The sequence below is a fragment of the Homo sapiens genome, chromosome 4 (genome assembly GCF_000001405.40).
Source record: "Homo sapiens chromosome 4, GRCh38.p14 Primary Assembly".
Lineage (NCBI taxonomy): Eukaryota > Metazoa > Chordata > Mammalia > Primates > Hominidae > Homo > Homo sapiens.
The window spans coordinates 84930209-84946208 of NC_000004.12; the positions used below are offsets into that span (position 1 = coordinate 84930209).

The 16000-nt window shown below is 35.6% G+C and overlaps 1 protein-coding gene across 29 annotated transcripts in view; it reads right to left on the minus strand.

Annotated features, from left to right (window-relative positions):
• The window catches only part of WDFY3 (WD repeat and FYVE domain containing 3), a 297094-nt gene that overhangs the window by 260612 nt on the left and 20482 nt on the right, over positions 1 to 16000 (minus strand). For 26 of the 29 annotated variants that reach the window (XM_047449858.1, XM_011531763.4, XM_011531760.4 and 23 more), the window contains exon 2: positions 2062 to 2155. The exons of 1 other annotated variant lie outside the window; for it this stretch is intronic. The gene's annotated coding sequence lies outside the window, so the exon portion shown is untranslated. Of the gene's footprint in view, positions 1 to 1918; positions 2173 to 16000 lie in introns of those variants that run through there. 2 more of the 29 variants (XM_047449852.1, XM_047449860.1) reach the window with 2 other exon arrangements.

The following is a 16000-nucleotide window of genomic DNA, read 5'->3' on the forward strand; positions in this document are numbered from 1 at the left end:
ATCAACAATACCAAAATTAGCCTCCATTTAGGACTCAAGTAGATGCCCAAAGGTCTTTATTAAGAAAAAAGATATTAGTCCATACCGGAAAATCTTAGGACCACAGATATTTTAGTGAGCTGGGACCTCTGCAGTCATATAATCTAATCTACTCATTTCAGAAATTGATGATGATAATAATAATGATGTGCCAGGAACACATACATTAATTCTTTATAATAATACCATGAGCTACCACTATCATCCACTCCTTTTTTAAGATGTAGAAATTGATGTCCAGAAGTAAAGGTCACAAAGCTAGTACGTGGCGATGCCGGATCTGAATAAATTGAGGTGCACAGAGAAAAAGTAATTTACCCAAAATCACAGTTGGCAGCTCAGCTGGGTACCTAATAGTATGTCTCCTATATTCAAATCTTTTTTCTCAAAAAGTCAAATGAAAAAAGTTTCCTTTCTCAAAATATCTTATTGCACTGTACCATTTTATTCATGATAGTCAAATAAATGTCCATCAACTGATGAAAGGATATACAAACTGTGGACTATCCAAACAATGAAATACTACCCAGCATTAAAAGGATCAGAAGTTTTATCCTTTTTAATTCTGGGTAACACAGATGAATGCAATAACATGGATATAACTTTAAAGTATTACAATATTCCCCCTTTATCCATGATTTCACCCTCCACGGTTCATTACCCACAATCCAAAAATATTATATACAGTAAGATATTTTGATAGAAACCACATTCACATAACTTTCACTGCAATATTTGTTATTATAATTGTTATATTTTATTAGTAGTTATTATTGTTAATCTCTTACTGTGTCTAATGTATAAATTATACTTTGTTACAGGCAAGTATGTATAGAAAAAACATAGTATACATAGGGTTCCCTAGTATCTGTGGTTTCAGTCTTCCACTGGGGGTCTTGGAACATATCCCTCTCTGATAAGGGGAGACTATCGCACATGTGGAAGAAGTACTACTATATCTTATTATTAGTTATCCACATTTCAGTAGGAATAAGTGAGACCTTTTTCAGAGAACAGTCTTTAAAACAAAGAAAGCCAATGCAAAGCTTTTAAATTACCATGCCCTAAGCCACAATTTGTCTAAAGGTATCTGATTGAGGAATCAGAGTCTGTTCCGGCAAATCAGTATTGAGTGCTTAGTTAGCCTTTCTTTGGGATCTGGATTATAAGGTATTATGCTTGGGAGGCAGTGGCAAGCAGGCTTCACCTCACAAAGAACAGCAATGTGATGATAGCTAGTTCCCAAAGAGAGAAAGAAGAATGAGATGAACATGCAGAGAAGAGACACTCTGCTGAGAGCCTGCGGGAAATCTGATTGTCTTTAGTCCTGGGTTCTTATTTGCAGTCCAGCTGCATTTCTGTTCTTGGATCCTGTGGCATCTCCTGGGACACTCCAAAAGTTTTCCCATTTTTGGTTAAAATAATTTGATTACTTGCAATCAACAGAGAAACAACATGATCAAAAAGGTACCCTCTCTAAAGCTGAAGAACATTATTGAAAAACTAATAACCTCATGTAAAAAATAAACTTTTTAATAACAACAAAGTAAAGTAAAGCATTAAAACTAAGGGTAGCCACAGTACTCTCAAGGGCCTCACAAGACAGTTTAATCCTTAAACTAGTCACTCAAAGAAACTACAATACAATGGATTAAAGAGTTTCAAAGCATGTGCTTTAAAAACAACTACATTTTTCCAGGAAAAAACAAGAGGAAATTATGCTTTAAAAATATGACTTTCATCATCTGTAGGTACCTACAAGAAAAGTAATATTGATTTAAAGCCAAAATTGAAACTGAAGATAACTTATTCTAATGTAGCCCTGTTTTGGTGCAGAAAACTAAGAGCCAACAAGCAAAGAAGGCTTGCCCAAGCTTACCAGTCATCAGTGGTAAAGGACGGTTGAAACCCAACTCCTGAATCACAAGTCACTGGTCTTGCTGCTGCACAATAACGCAGCAAAGACAATCACAATTCTGTTCCTGGCTCCTTTTTCAACAAAAAAAAAATCCTAAAACTGACCTGATTCTCTGTTCTGGGCTGGCATGAACCTGCTTAGAAATGATAAGAATGGCAGGCACTTTCTTCCTGAAGCAGACGTGGAGAAGTATTATACCTGATGAAGGAAAGGAAAAGAAAACTCAGTTTATGTTCAGAATATACATCATGAGTCATTCATTTTCTACTGATTCTCTTTACCTCCTTACTTGTTGTCTTGCTTGTTTAATAATGGAACATATAGCACTTTATTTAAAATAGATTAAATTTGCTATTAAAGATCCATGAAAAATATAAAGTTATTTAAAGCTGGTCTCTACAGACCATCTGATTTCACTTCTTCATTTTACTGATAAGGAAACTTTGACCTGGAGAAATTATGCAAAGAATCAATGACAACACAGCTACTTAGTGTTAGAGCCAGATTCAGAACTCAACCCTTACCACTTCCAGTCCAGTACTCATTTGTATATCACAGACCACACAGCCTCTTTTCTTGGAGAAAAAATTCATGCTATTTCTCTAGGTGTATTTTTCATGCATCTCAAGATAAATGCGGTATAGAGCTGAATTGATTTGTTCTAAATTAAAATTTTAAAAATTGCTGCCTCATTCAAAGGTCATACTCTAGTCTCAAGTTATTTGGGTTGCCTTATACAGGATATATAAATGTTTCCTTTCATTTACCAGTCAATATTTCAATATGAAAACATTAGCATATGAATCATGAGATCTAGTTTCTTAGGCCTCTAGTAACTCTGCTCTCAACAAGTTCTATAGTGTAGTCAAACACATTTTGGTCCTAAAGTTCTTTAATTCAAAAAGGAGGAGCCTGGACTAATTCCTAGGGGCCTTCTAACTCTAAAATGTTATACCAAAGAATAGCATCATCTTTAATGACATTCGCCTTTTCAGATGAGCTATGTGTTTTTGTTATGTAACTTTATTTGTTAAACTCTTTAATCGTATTATTATAGTTCAAACAAAATCATTCAAAATCATTGAAGGCAATATTGCCTTCAATAGACAGGTAATTATTCAAAAACCTAACCAATAATAACCTAGTTTTGCTGGTTTATCTCATTACCTGGCTGGTTCTATTACAGAAACCCAGCTAGAAGTAGGAGAAAAATCCCTCTTTTTAATTTTTATTTTTAATTTTTACCTGTACATAGTAAATATACAGATTTATAGGGTACATGAGATGTTTTAATACAGGCATACAATGTGTAATAATCACATCAGGGTAAATGGGGTGTCCATCATCTCAAGCATTTATTATTTTTTTGTGTTATGAACATTCCAATTATACTTATTTTTTAATGTACAAATTATTAACTGTCACCCTATTGTGCTACCAAATACTAGATCTTATACATTCTTTCTAACTATGCTTTTGAACCCATTAACTATCCCCGCTCTTGCCCCACCCACTACCCTGCCCAGCTTCTGGTAACCATCACTCTATTCTCTATTTATGAGTTCAATTGTTTTAATTTTTAGCTCCCAGAAATGAGTGAAGACATGCAAAGTTTGTCTTTCTGCACCTGGCTTATTCTGCTTAACATAATGTCCTCCAGTTTCATCTATGTTGTTGCAAATGACAGGATCTCATTCTTTTTTATGGCTGAATAGTATTCCAATGTGTATATACCACAATTTCTTTATCCATTTGTCTGCTGATAGACACTTAGTTTGCATCCGAATCTTGGTTATTGGTAACAGTGCTCATAAATATGGGAGTGTAGATATCTCTTTGATACACTGATTTCCTTTCTTTTGGGTATAAACCTGGTAGTGGGGCTGCTGGATCACATGGCAGTTCTATTTTCAGGTTTTTAGGAACCTCCATACTGTTCTCTATAATGTCTGTACTGATTTGCATTCCTATCAACAGTGTACGAGGGTTCCCTTTTCTCCACATCCTTGTCAGCATTTGTTATTGCCTGTCTTTTGCATAAAAGCCATTTTAATGGGACGAGTTGATACCTCATTGCGGTTTTGATTTGAATTTCTTTGATGATCAATGACACTGAGCACCTTTTAATGCATGTTTGTTTGCCATATGTATGTCTTCTTTTGAGAAATGTCTATTCTGATCTTTTGCTCATTTTTTAAATCAGATTAAGGAAAAGTACTCTTTAAAAGTCTACCTCTTGGGTAGTTTCTAAGAAATATCCTGAATTATTTCCTCAAATCATTGATCTAGTTATTCATCCAATAAGTTTTTACTGAGTCACTTGCCAGATGGCAGATACATACAAGCTTAATGAGACAGAAAGCTTTAAAACAAGATAATTCTAGTGAAATACTGAGTGCTGTTAGGAATTCAGGTGGCAGTAGAGAGTAGGCAGAATTAATGACATGTCTCCTAAATTATGACTTCAGATTATAGCTTATCTTTTAATATATTAATTATTACATACAACAATTATTTGGAACATTTTAAATTCAAAGCAAAATAATAGAATGAACATCCAGATACCTGTCACCCAACTCAAGAACCTAAGGGTAAGTTATTGGTATTGTTCTACTAATTTGTTCCTCCTCCATTCCATGCTCCACCTCTCTTATCCCCACCACCCCCTGTAACCGCAATCCTGTATTTTGTATTTATCATTACTTTGCTTTTTAAACAGTATATCACATAGGTACATCTTCCTGAACAATATAGTGTTCCATTTTGCTTGGTTCTGAAATCTATCAAAACGGTATCAAAATCTATCCTCCTGTCTTGTAGGATTTGGTTTTTTAATTCAATATTACGTTTCTAAAACTCACCCAACGTTGTTGCATATAGTTGTAGTTCATTCATTTTCACTGCAGAATAATACTGCATTGTACAAATATATCACAATTTAATTATCCGTTCTCTTGTCAATAGCTTATTTTCCCCTCCAAGTTTTGTTTTGCTATTATGAACATTTATGTTATGAAAGTTCTGACATGTGTCATGTTCCACATGTGTCCGAGTTTCTCTTAAGTACATGCCTAAGAGTTAGGGAGTAATCTTAAATTTAACTTTTCATGATGATGCCAATTTTTACTTTCCCTAAAGTGTGTTTGGCAATTTATAACTTCACTACCAAAAGGTAGTAGCAGAACTACCACATCTACAGCCTCTCCAACGTGTAGTAATGCCAACTTTTTAATGCTGGGTATAGAATGGCATCTAATTGTGGTCTTAGTTCGCACTTCCTTGTCAATTAATGATGCTGAGTATTTCTTCATGTTTCTTGGCTATCTCATATTTTCTCTCGTATGAAATGCCTATTCATATATTTTACCCATTTTCCTCCTGACTTATTTGCCATTTTCATATTGTTTCATGTGTATTTTATATGTATTTGGATGCCCATTACTTGGTTTTACCAGTCTTGACCAAAAACAGGCAATTGTTGAGATAAGGGAGCAGAAGCAAAAATAGCAGGCGGCCAGAAAACTGGCAACAGCAAGTTAGAGTACCAATGATTTCCTCAACCCATTTTTTAATATAAATGTAATCTACAGACATCTTAAAGTATCAGAAATCTAAAATATTATAAAATCAATCTAGATTTACAATCTTTCATTTTAATATAAACTCAGCCAAGAACAAATGCTACAAAATGATTTCAGTACATTCTAACTACAATATGTAATATAGTATAATTCTCAGGAATCAAGTTTTACACAGGTCACAATTAAGACCACAATTTAAAGTTCCCATTTTGACCCTGACATTTTACATATTTTTACTTCATGCTTTCCTTGCCTCCAATTTAGAGTAAGTCAGTTACATTGTCAGAGGATTAAGTTTAAATGTATATGCACATATGTATAAAAACTAAATTTTGAAATTAAACTGTGTACATTGAAATGCCACAGAAACCTGAATTCCAGACTTAGCTAGATGATTAGCTATATCTCCCTGGCCTATCTATGTCTTCTGAGTTGGTTTTCTTATATTAATACTTAAAATGGAAATTGTGCTGGGTCTTATCATACTCTTTGGGTGGGGAGTGGTGGCTCACGCCTGTAATCTCAGCTCTTTGTGAGGCTGAGGCAGGACTATCACTTGAGAACAGCAGTTTGATACCACACTGGGCAACATAGTGAGACCCCATCTCTACAAAAAATTTAAAAATTAGCTGGGCATGGTGGCAAACACCTGTAGTCCTAGGTACTTAGGAGTCTGAGGCAGGAGGATCACTTAAGTCCAGGAGATTGAGGCCACAGTGAGCTATGAACGTGCCACTGCCCTTCAGCCTGGGTGACATAGCAAGACCCTGTCTCTTTTAAAAAAAATTATTTGGCTTGAAGATCAATGAGAAAATTTTTTTCCAAATAGCCCAGAAAGATTTTGTGGAGTCTCTTTCCAAACTTTATACAAAGTAGCCAGTTAAACTAAATAATAACAAAAAATAAATTTTCAAAATTTTTAACAAGCAGTTTTAGAGTCCTCCTAAGGCCTCCCAGGACTCCTGCCAGGTAATCTGATGAAATGCATCATACAAGAAAAAAAAAATTCAAAAGCCACAGGCAATCAGAAGAGAACTTCCAGAATCTCTCATGACATTTACCTCCCCACCTGAATCTGTACCCTTTCACTGAATTTCAGGATTCACATCAAAATCTAACCCCTCTACTTTGCTACTAGATGTTACATGCCTAGAACACCAATGTCATTGCTCTAGGAAATCCCACTTCTCTCTCCTACGTCATCAATTTCCTCCTTCCAATAAAGCAAAATCACTGGCAAATACATTTCCAATCATTAGAAAACAAACAACAAAACCTCTCGACTCCTTATATGCCTCTAGATGATGGCCAATATCTTTGATTCCTTTTTTAGCAAAACATCACAAGCTTGTACTCCTTGTCTACAATTATACTTCCATTCAAATTTAACACACTCCAATTAGACTTTTACTACACAACATCACTGAAATTCAAGGTCATCAATTACCTGAATATTGTTAAATCCAAAGGCCTATTAGTTCTCATCTTTCTTGACTTATCTGCAGCATTTGGCATGACATATCACATGCTGATACACTTTCTTTTATTGGCTTCCAGAACCAACTCTATTGGTTTCATCCTATCTCATCGACCTCTCCTTGTCAGCGTTCTTTCCTAGTTCCTCCTCTTCTCCCTGACCTTTAAAGTTTAGGTTGTTAGCCTTCTTCTCTAACCCACTGGCAAGTACTATTGACTTTATCTACAAAAATACTGAGAATCTGACCACTTCTCGCCACTTGCATAGTTACTATTTTGGTCAAAGTCTGTATTGTCCCTCACTTGGATTTTTGCCATAGGTTAGTAACTGGTCTCCCAACTTCTACCCTTGTCCTATTTTCAAGTCCTTTCTCATCGAAGTAGCCAGAGTGATCCAGACAACCTAACATAAATCATAAATCGTATAACATCTGCTCCCAAAATCTCCCAGTGGCTTCCCATCTCACTCAGAGTAGGCCATTTTTTTAAAAAATGACATAAAAGAACCTATAAAATTTGGCCCCTATTACCCCTGACTTCATTTCCTACCAACTTCCTTGCCATTCTTTTTACAGGCCAGGCACATCCTTGCCTTGGGGCCTTTATACTTGCTATTCTCTCCCTATATGCTTTTCCAAGAGATGATTACAGTAGACCCTTCCTTATCTGTGTGGGTTGGGGGTTGGATATGTTCCAAGACCCCCAGTACATTTTTCCCCATGCATATATACCTGTGATAAAATTTAATTTATAAATTAGGCATAGTACTCTTATGCTTTGGGGCCATTATTAAGTAAAATAAGGGTTATTTGGATATAAGCACTGCGATACTCTGACAGGTGTATTTCCCTTCTATTCCTATTTGTCTATGTCCTTCCATGAAAATGTAAAATCTATGAGGGCAATGGTTTTGTTTAGTTTAATGCTACAGCTCCAATGCCTAAAAAAGAATCTGGCACATAGCAGGCATCCAATTAACATTTTTTAAAATAAATAAACAGTTACTCTCTTAAGGCTAAAAATGGGAATCTTTCCTAGTTTATAAAACAAGATAATCTAAATAATTGGGGGACAACAACTAGATTTTTGATGTAAAAGAATCATTCTAAAATTTCTTCAAAAGATAATTGATAATGATGATAACCTCAAAATATTTTATTAGACATTGTAACTGATACTTCCATAAATTTGATAAATTAACAAATAGTTCCCCTTATTATTAGGTTTTAGACTCTGGCCGTCCACAGAATGACTCATTTCTTTCCCACTAACTGCTGTCATATTTAACAATGGTTGGCATGCAGGGCCGTAACACCAGCACACAGGAAAATATTACAAAAATGTTCATTCCAAACTGGTTCCAGAGAAAGAACCAAGCTCTTTATAAATGAGGAAAGTCTAAAAATAAAGGGCAGATATTTTTAAATGTTTTCAATATTTTGTTTGAAAATAATTCCAAACTTACAGAAAAGTTAGTAAAAATACAAAAATCACTCATACTCAGATTCAGCCATTACTAATGTCACCTCTTTACTTTTACATTTGTGCTCCTGAGCTTTTACACTTTCTTGCATTCATACACACACATGCACACATACACTTTTTTTCCTGGAGCAAATGAGAATAAACTATATACATCAAGCCCTTTCCTCCTCTTCTTCCAATGTGTGTTTCTTTAGCAATACTTTCTCTTATAAGGAAAGCACAGTGATCAACTTCAGTAATTATAACATTGTTACAATATTTTTATCTATTCTATGGTCTATATTCCAATATTCTAATTTTTCAATTGATCCAATAACATCCTGCATGGTATATTTTCCCCCATTCAGTATAAGATCCAGTCTAGGGTCAGGTACTGTTAGTGGTTCTCTCTTCTATGCCTCCTTTAATTTGGAACACTTCCATAGCCTTTCTTTCTCTTTTATGACACTGACTTTTTTAAGGACCACAGTTCCCTCCCCGCTTTTTAAAGTAGAACATTCCTTATTTTGCACTTGTCGAATGTTTCCTCGTGATTAAATTCAGGTTATGCAGTCTTGGCCAGAATACTACAGAGGAGATGATGTGTCCCCTCAGGGTGTCCTATCTGGAGTCACATGGTGACCATCTGCCCCATATTGTTGTTGGATCGCACCAATGCATAATCACTATATTATCCCTTGCAATTAGTACACAGTCTGTGGGGTGATGCTTTAAGACATCGAAAATATCCTGCTTCTCATCAAAATTTCTCCCTCATTTAGTTATGACTCTTGCCCTACCTAATATCTACTACGCTAGCTACAAAATAATGATTTTTCCAACTCTAAAGCTCAGAGTCCTACTGGAAGAAAGAGCCTTCCTTTCTCCTCTATTCATTCACTTATTTTTATTATCATTATGGATTTATTCCTATTTCTAATGGTTCATAATTTATTATTATACTTACTTGATTATTAAATTATCTCAAATTTGGCTAGCAGGAATGCCAATAGGCTTCTTGTGACATGTTCTTATTTAAAAAAAAAAAGTTTCTATTTTCTCGCATTGAAAAATAATCCAGGCTCACATGGTATGTGCCCTACCCTATCCTAGAATCATCTATTTCTGTGAGGAGCTCTGGTTCCTTTGACTTGAGAATGGTATTACAGAATTCTAATTCCAAGAATTTGGAGTTAGGTATGCTCTTTGCCTCTTAGCCCTTTTACTGGACAGAGCTAGGAAATGTATGAATGCAAATACACATACAAATTTATGTACATATGTCTGTACATGCAATTACATGTACATATATATTGGCTTAAAACATCATGAACTCACTGATACCTTCAATTCCAATCCACCTGCACAGAATTTATTATGCCTTCTCCCACCCCATATTTGTGTGTCTCTCCTTCTTCAGGGAGAACCCTCACTCCAACAACCTCAAAACATTTACTCAATCCCCAATACACCTAAAAAGTCCCAGAAGTGCTATGTCCATATCACTATGAAAAGTAAACCTAATAGAATGAGTTCAAGAGTTGCCTGCAACCCGTCTCTTTCAACTCTACCCAAGCTGACGGTATATGGTTATAGTTATAGCACCATGTTATTAGTAATAAATTACTTAGATTTACTCTTTGTTCCCTCAATGGGGGTACAATACTAATTTAAAATACATTCAGGTTCATTTGTTTCAGTGGATTAGGATTCTCCCCATTTCCGTCCTTATTTTGAATACTGAAAAAAACACACTATGAAAAGCCAAAACTATATTTTTTAAAAAAAGGTTTACTTTGAAGTGTCATTGCCTCCCATAAACCTCTGGCCCCATTACCTCTCACTACCCCTTCTTTTTGTAAAGTCAAGCATATATATGTATGTGTTATTTTCCCTTTTTTCTTACATAAAAGATAGCACACTATATATTCTTGTTTATACTAACCAGCACAATCCAGATTGAAGAAAGCTCTTCCCAAAGCCTTTTATAAGATACAATATCCTGATATCAAAACCAGACAAAGAGATTAAGAGAAAAAAAGACTAGAAATTTCATATTTTTTGTGAACATAAATGCAAAAACTTTTAACAAAATATAAGGAAACCAAATCTGGCAACATATAAAAGGGGTATTACATCATGATGAAGTGCATTTATCCTGGAAATGCCAGGCTAATTCAATATTCAAAAAATTAACATAATTTACCATTATCAATAAAATAAAGATTAAAAACCATATAATCTCAATAGATATTTTAAAAATCACTTGCAAAATTCAACATCTATTAATGATAAAAGCTCTACTAAACCAGGAATAGAATGAAACTTACTCAACCTGATAAACAGCCTCTTTAAAACAGATATAGCTAACATCATGTTTAATGAAGAAAGACTGAATGCTTTCTCTTTTTAACATATACTAGAAATCCTAGCCAGTGCAATAAGGCATGAAAAATAAATAAAAGGCAAAAATGGAATGGAAGAAGTAAAACTGTCTTTATTCCAGGCAGCATGATTATATATATAGATAGAAAACCCCAAAGAGTCTACCAAAGAAACCTCCCTAAGTTAATAAGGGAACTTGGCAAGACTGCAGTATACAAAGTTCAATATACAAAAATCAATTGTGTTTCTACATATTAACAATGAAACAACTAAAAGTTATAGATAAAGAGATAGATAGATAGATAGATAGTACCATTTATAATAGCACCCAAAACACATGAAATGCTGAGGAGTAATTCTAACAAACTGTGCAAAATCTGTCTACTGAAAACTATAAAACAATGATGAAATAATCACTAATGAGATAATCATTGATAACAATGATGAAATAAACCAAAGATGACTTAAGTAAATAGAGAGATACTCTATGTTCATGGATTTGGAGGCAATATATTCAAGGAATCAGTTCTTCCCATATTTACCTATAGATTCAATGCAATCCCAATCAAAATTAGAGTAGACTTTCGTTTTTGGAAATCAACAAGATGACTCTAAAATTTACACAAAAAAGAAATCAAGAATAGTCAAAACGATTTGGAAACAAAACAAAATTGGAGGACTCATATTACCTGATTTCAAGACTTACTAAAAAGCTACAGTAATCAAGATAGTGTGGCAGTGGTAAAAGCACCTAGATCAATGGAAAAGGACAGAAATTCCAGAAACAGATACACACAAACATGGTCAATTGATTTTTGACAAAGATGTCAAGCAATTTAATAGGGAAGGAAAAATTTTTCACTAGCCAGTGCTACAGTAATCAGATATCCACAACCCAAAAATAAATAAATAAATAAATAAAACTCACAAAAACTTCAGTCAACCCACACATCACACACTATATACAAAATTTAACTCAAACCAAATCACAGACATAAATGTACAATCTAAAACTATAAAACTTCCAGAGGAAAACTTCGGGGAAAATCATTGTTACTTTGAGTTAGGCAAAAAATTCTCTAACAGGATATAAAAAGTAAAAACTATAAAAGAAAAAAATGGGCAAAGTGGACATCACCAAAATTAATTTCTGCTCTTCAAAACACAGTGTTATAAAAATGAAATTAAGCCAAAAACTGGGAGAAAGTATTTGTAAAACACATACCAGACTGGAACCCAAAATATATAATGAATTCTTTAAACAATAAAAAAAAAGCAAACTGATTTTAAAAAGAATAAAAGATGTCGACACTTACTTTTAAAAAAAGGATACATACAGCAAACAAGCAATGAAAGCTCACTACCATTATTTATGAAAAGCAAATTAAAACATTTTGAATGCTGCTATGAACATTAGCCTTTTTGTGGACATGTGCTTTCATTTCTTTTATAGATATACTTAGGAATGGAATTTATAGATCCTAATGAATATGTTTGAATTTATGAGACACTAGTTGACTGTTTGCTAAAATGGCTATACCATTTCACCAGGAATGAATGAGAAGAAACTTCTAGTTGCTGCATATCCTTACCAAACTTAACATCATCAGATTTTACATGCATTTGTCATTCACATATCCTCGGTAAAATATCTGTTCAAATTATTTGTTCATTTTTCGACAGGGTTCTTTGTCTTCTTATTATTGAATTGTGAGAGTTCTTTATATATTCTGGTTCATATCCTTTGCCAAGTATGTATATGTTTTGCAAGTATATTTACCAGTCTGTGGCTAACCTTTTTATTTTTTTTTAAATGGTGAAGCATGTTCATTTTGAGAAATTTCATTAAGCTTCAACTTACAATTTGTTTACTTTTACTTACGTATATACAGTAAACTTGAACAACATGGGTTTGAACTGTGTTGTCCAATTATATGTGGATTTTCTTCTGCCTCTGCCACATCAGACAAGATCAACTACTCCTCTCTTCCTCCTCCTCTTCGGCCAACTCAGTGTGAAGACAATGAGGATGAACACCTTTATGATGACCCACTTCCACTTAATGAACAGTAAATATATTTTCTCTTCCTTATGATTTTCTTAATGTCATTTTCTTTTAACTAACTTTCCTGTAAGAATACAGTATATGGCTGGGTGTGGTGGCTCACACCTGTAATCCAAGCACTTTGGGAGGCCGAGGCGGGCGGATCACAAGGTCAGGAGATCGAGACCATCCTGGCTAACACCCAGTGAAACCCCATCTCTACTAAGAATACAAAAAAACTAGCTGGGCGTGGTGGTGGGCACCTGTAGTCCCAGCTACTCAGGAGGCTGAGGCAGGAGAATGGCGTGAACCAGGGAGGCGGAGCTTGCAGTGAGCCGAGATCACACCACTGCACTCCAGCCTGGGCGACAGAGCAAGACTCCGTCTCAGAAAAAAAAAAGAATACAGTATATAATACATATAACCCACAAGATGTGTATAAATCGACGGTTTATGTTATCAGTAACACTATCAGTAATTAAGTTTTGGGGAAACCAAAAAAGTTATATGCAGATCAACTACACAGGAGGTCACTTCCCCTAGCCCCAACATGGTTCAAAGATCAACTGTACTTGAATAAATTTATTGAAAAACAAAACAAAACAAAAAAAACTGCTCTTTAAAGGTGACAAAATCATCATCAACTAGTAAATAGCCTAAGGGTGATACAATTTGGCCTACACATACTAAAAACTGGAAAATAAGTCTTTACACTACCAGTCATGAGCCATTCATTGTGTTGGGTCCCTACCAGAGGCACAGACATAAAGTCTAAAATTAGCAAGGAAGAGTAACTGTTGAAGGCCTCCCTCTTCCAATTTGACCTCTGAATTATAAACATTCCAGATTAGGATATATGGCACTTTTGTTAATTATAGAGCAAATTTTAAATGGAAACTTTAGGTTGATGGGGAAAGCAAAGAAATTCAACTTAAGTATAATTACATGAAAAACTAACTCGTGTAATGATTTTCAATAAGCACCTGATTGTCAAATACATATGCTAAAACAAACAATAAGACTCTAAATATCTTTTCGCTGACTGAATAAATAGCTTTATATAAGTATTATTTATTAGTCTTTAATTATTCCAAAATTATCACTCCTAACTTTAAGAAGCAAAAATCAGCCAGGCATGGTGGCTCATGCCTGTAATCCCAGAACTCTGGGAGGCTGAGGGGGATGGATCACTTGAGCTCAGGAGTTCAAGACCAGCCTCTACAAACCCATTCTCTACGAAAAAAATTAAAATAAAAAATACAAAAAATTAGCTGGGCATGGTGGCGCACACCTGTAGTACCAGTTACTTGGAAGGTTGAGGTGGGAGAATCACTTGAACCTTGAGGGAGGAGACTGCAGTGAGCCAAGATCTTGCCACTGTACTCCAGCCTGGGCGAGAGTCAGACCGTGTATCAAAAAATAAACAGGCTGGGTGCAGTGGCTCATGCCTGTAATCCCAGCACTTTGTGGGGCTGTGGCGGATGGATCATCTGAGGTCAAGAGTTCAAGGCCAGCCTGGTCAACATGGTGAAACAACGTCTCTACTAAAAATACAAAAAATTAGCCAGGCATGGTGGCTAAGACAGGAGAATTGCTTGAACCTGGGAGGCAGGTTGCAGTGAGCCGAGATCACGCCACTGCACTCCAGCCTGGGCAACAGAGTGAGACTTCCTCTCAAAAAAATAAATAAAAATAAATAAATAAATAATACATATAGTCACTGGATGTGGCTGAAAGTCTTAAGTTTTGGGAACTTATAGAATATATTATTACTTCTGTAGTAGACACTTCCTGGAGTAGCTGGAAAGCTTATAATCCTTCCCTTTTCTGTGTCATGATCAATGGCCTTGAAAAGATCAAAAGATAAAAAAGAGGGAGATTCTCAGAATAGCTACTTGAATGAACCTCTCACAACAGGGTCACAGCCTAAAAAAATTCCTGTCCCATGTGTATGTTCACCAGAATTCTGCTAACAAATCAAAATACAAAGCCTCTTAGTAATTGAGTGGATAAGATGACCCACATCACAGACCAACTCATACTCCTCCAGCCAGCCTGGTCCTTGCTCAATAGGTTCATGAAAACCACCAGGTGGAAGGAGAAGCAGTTATGCAAGGGCAAATCTGCACGAACTCATTAAGACTGATGTCACTGTCACTACTGTTGAGAACACATTTGCCTGAGTCCCCCAAAGAGAGACTACTTCTTAGCAGGTAAATTATAACAAACCCTTTGCATTACAGAAATGGTGATGGCTGCTTTTCACTATAAGAAACACCAATTCTGAATTTGTCTCTGCCAGCACCACCATTCAAGATTAAGTGAATGCTTCATATAAATCACACTCACAGGGCCTCTGATCCAGGAACTCACTTCAAATGGTGATGGGCAGATGCCCAGGGACCTCACTAGTCTTATCAAATAGACTCTTATTCAGACACAGCTGTCCTCACAGAGGAGTAATGGCATTTTGAAGCTTGACATGCAAGTTGTTGCGCCACCTGAAACCTTCTGATATTGGGGTGCTGTCCTATAGTACATAAAATAAGCTCTGAACCACCCACTAATATATGATGTCTCCCATCCTCCCATCTCCGGAACACACTGGATGTGGGAACGTGGTGATGGTGGAGGTGGTATATTTCATCTGCTTTCAAAGTTCTGCTTCTTGTCTCAAGAACTCTGGAATCTGTTGATCTAGAAATTTTATTTAGTACCCAAGAATGAAATACTTATACCAAGAAACAAAATAACTGTTTCACTCAATTGAAAGCAGAGTTTTATTTCCTCATAACAATAAAAAAACAAGCAAAAATGGAGGCTATAGAATTGACAGAGGTGACTGCTCCTGACCATCAAGGAGAAGACAGGTTGCTACTGCACACCTGGGGCTAGGAAGATCATGAGAAAAGAACTTGGGGGAATCTCATATTCTCTGGCAGTGCCGTACACAGTGTTAATGTGAGTGAAAGATTATCACAATTCTATACAGTTGGAACTACCAAACCTCAGACCCTTTTGGGAATGAAGGACTGAGTTAGCTTCCTAGAAACAGAACCCTGATAAGCCAGGACACTAGCAGAAGGTAACAGA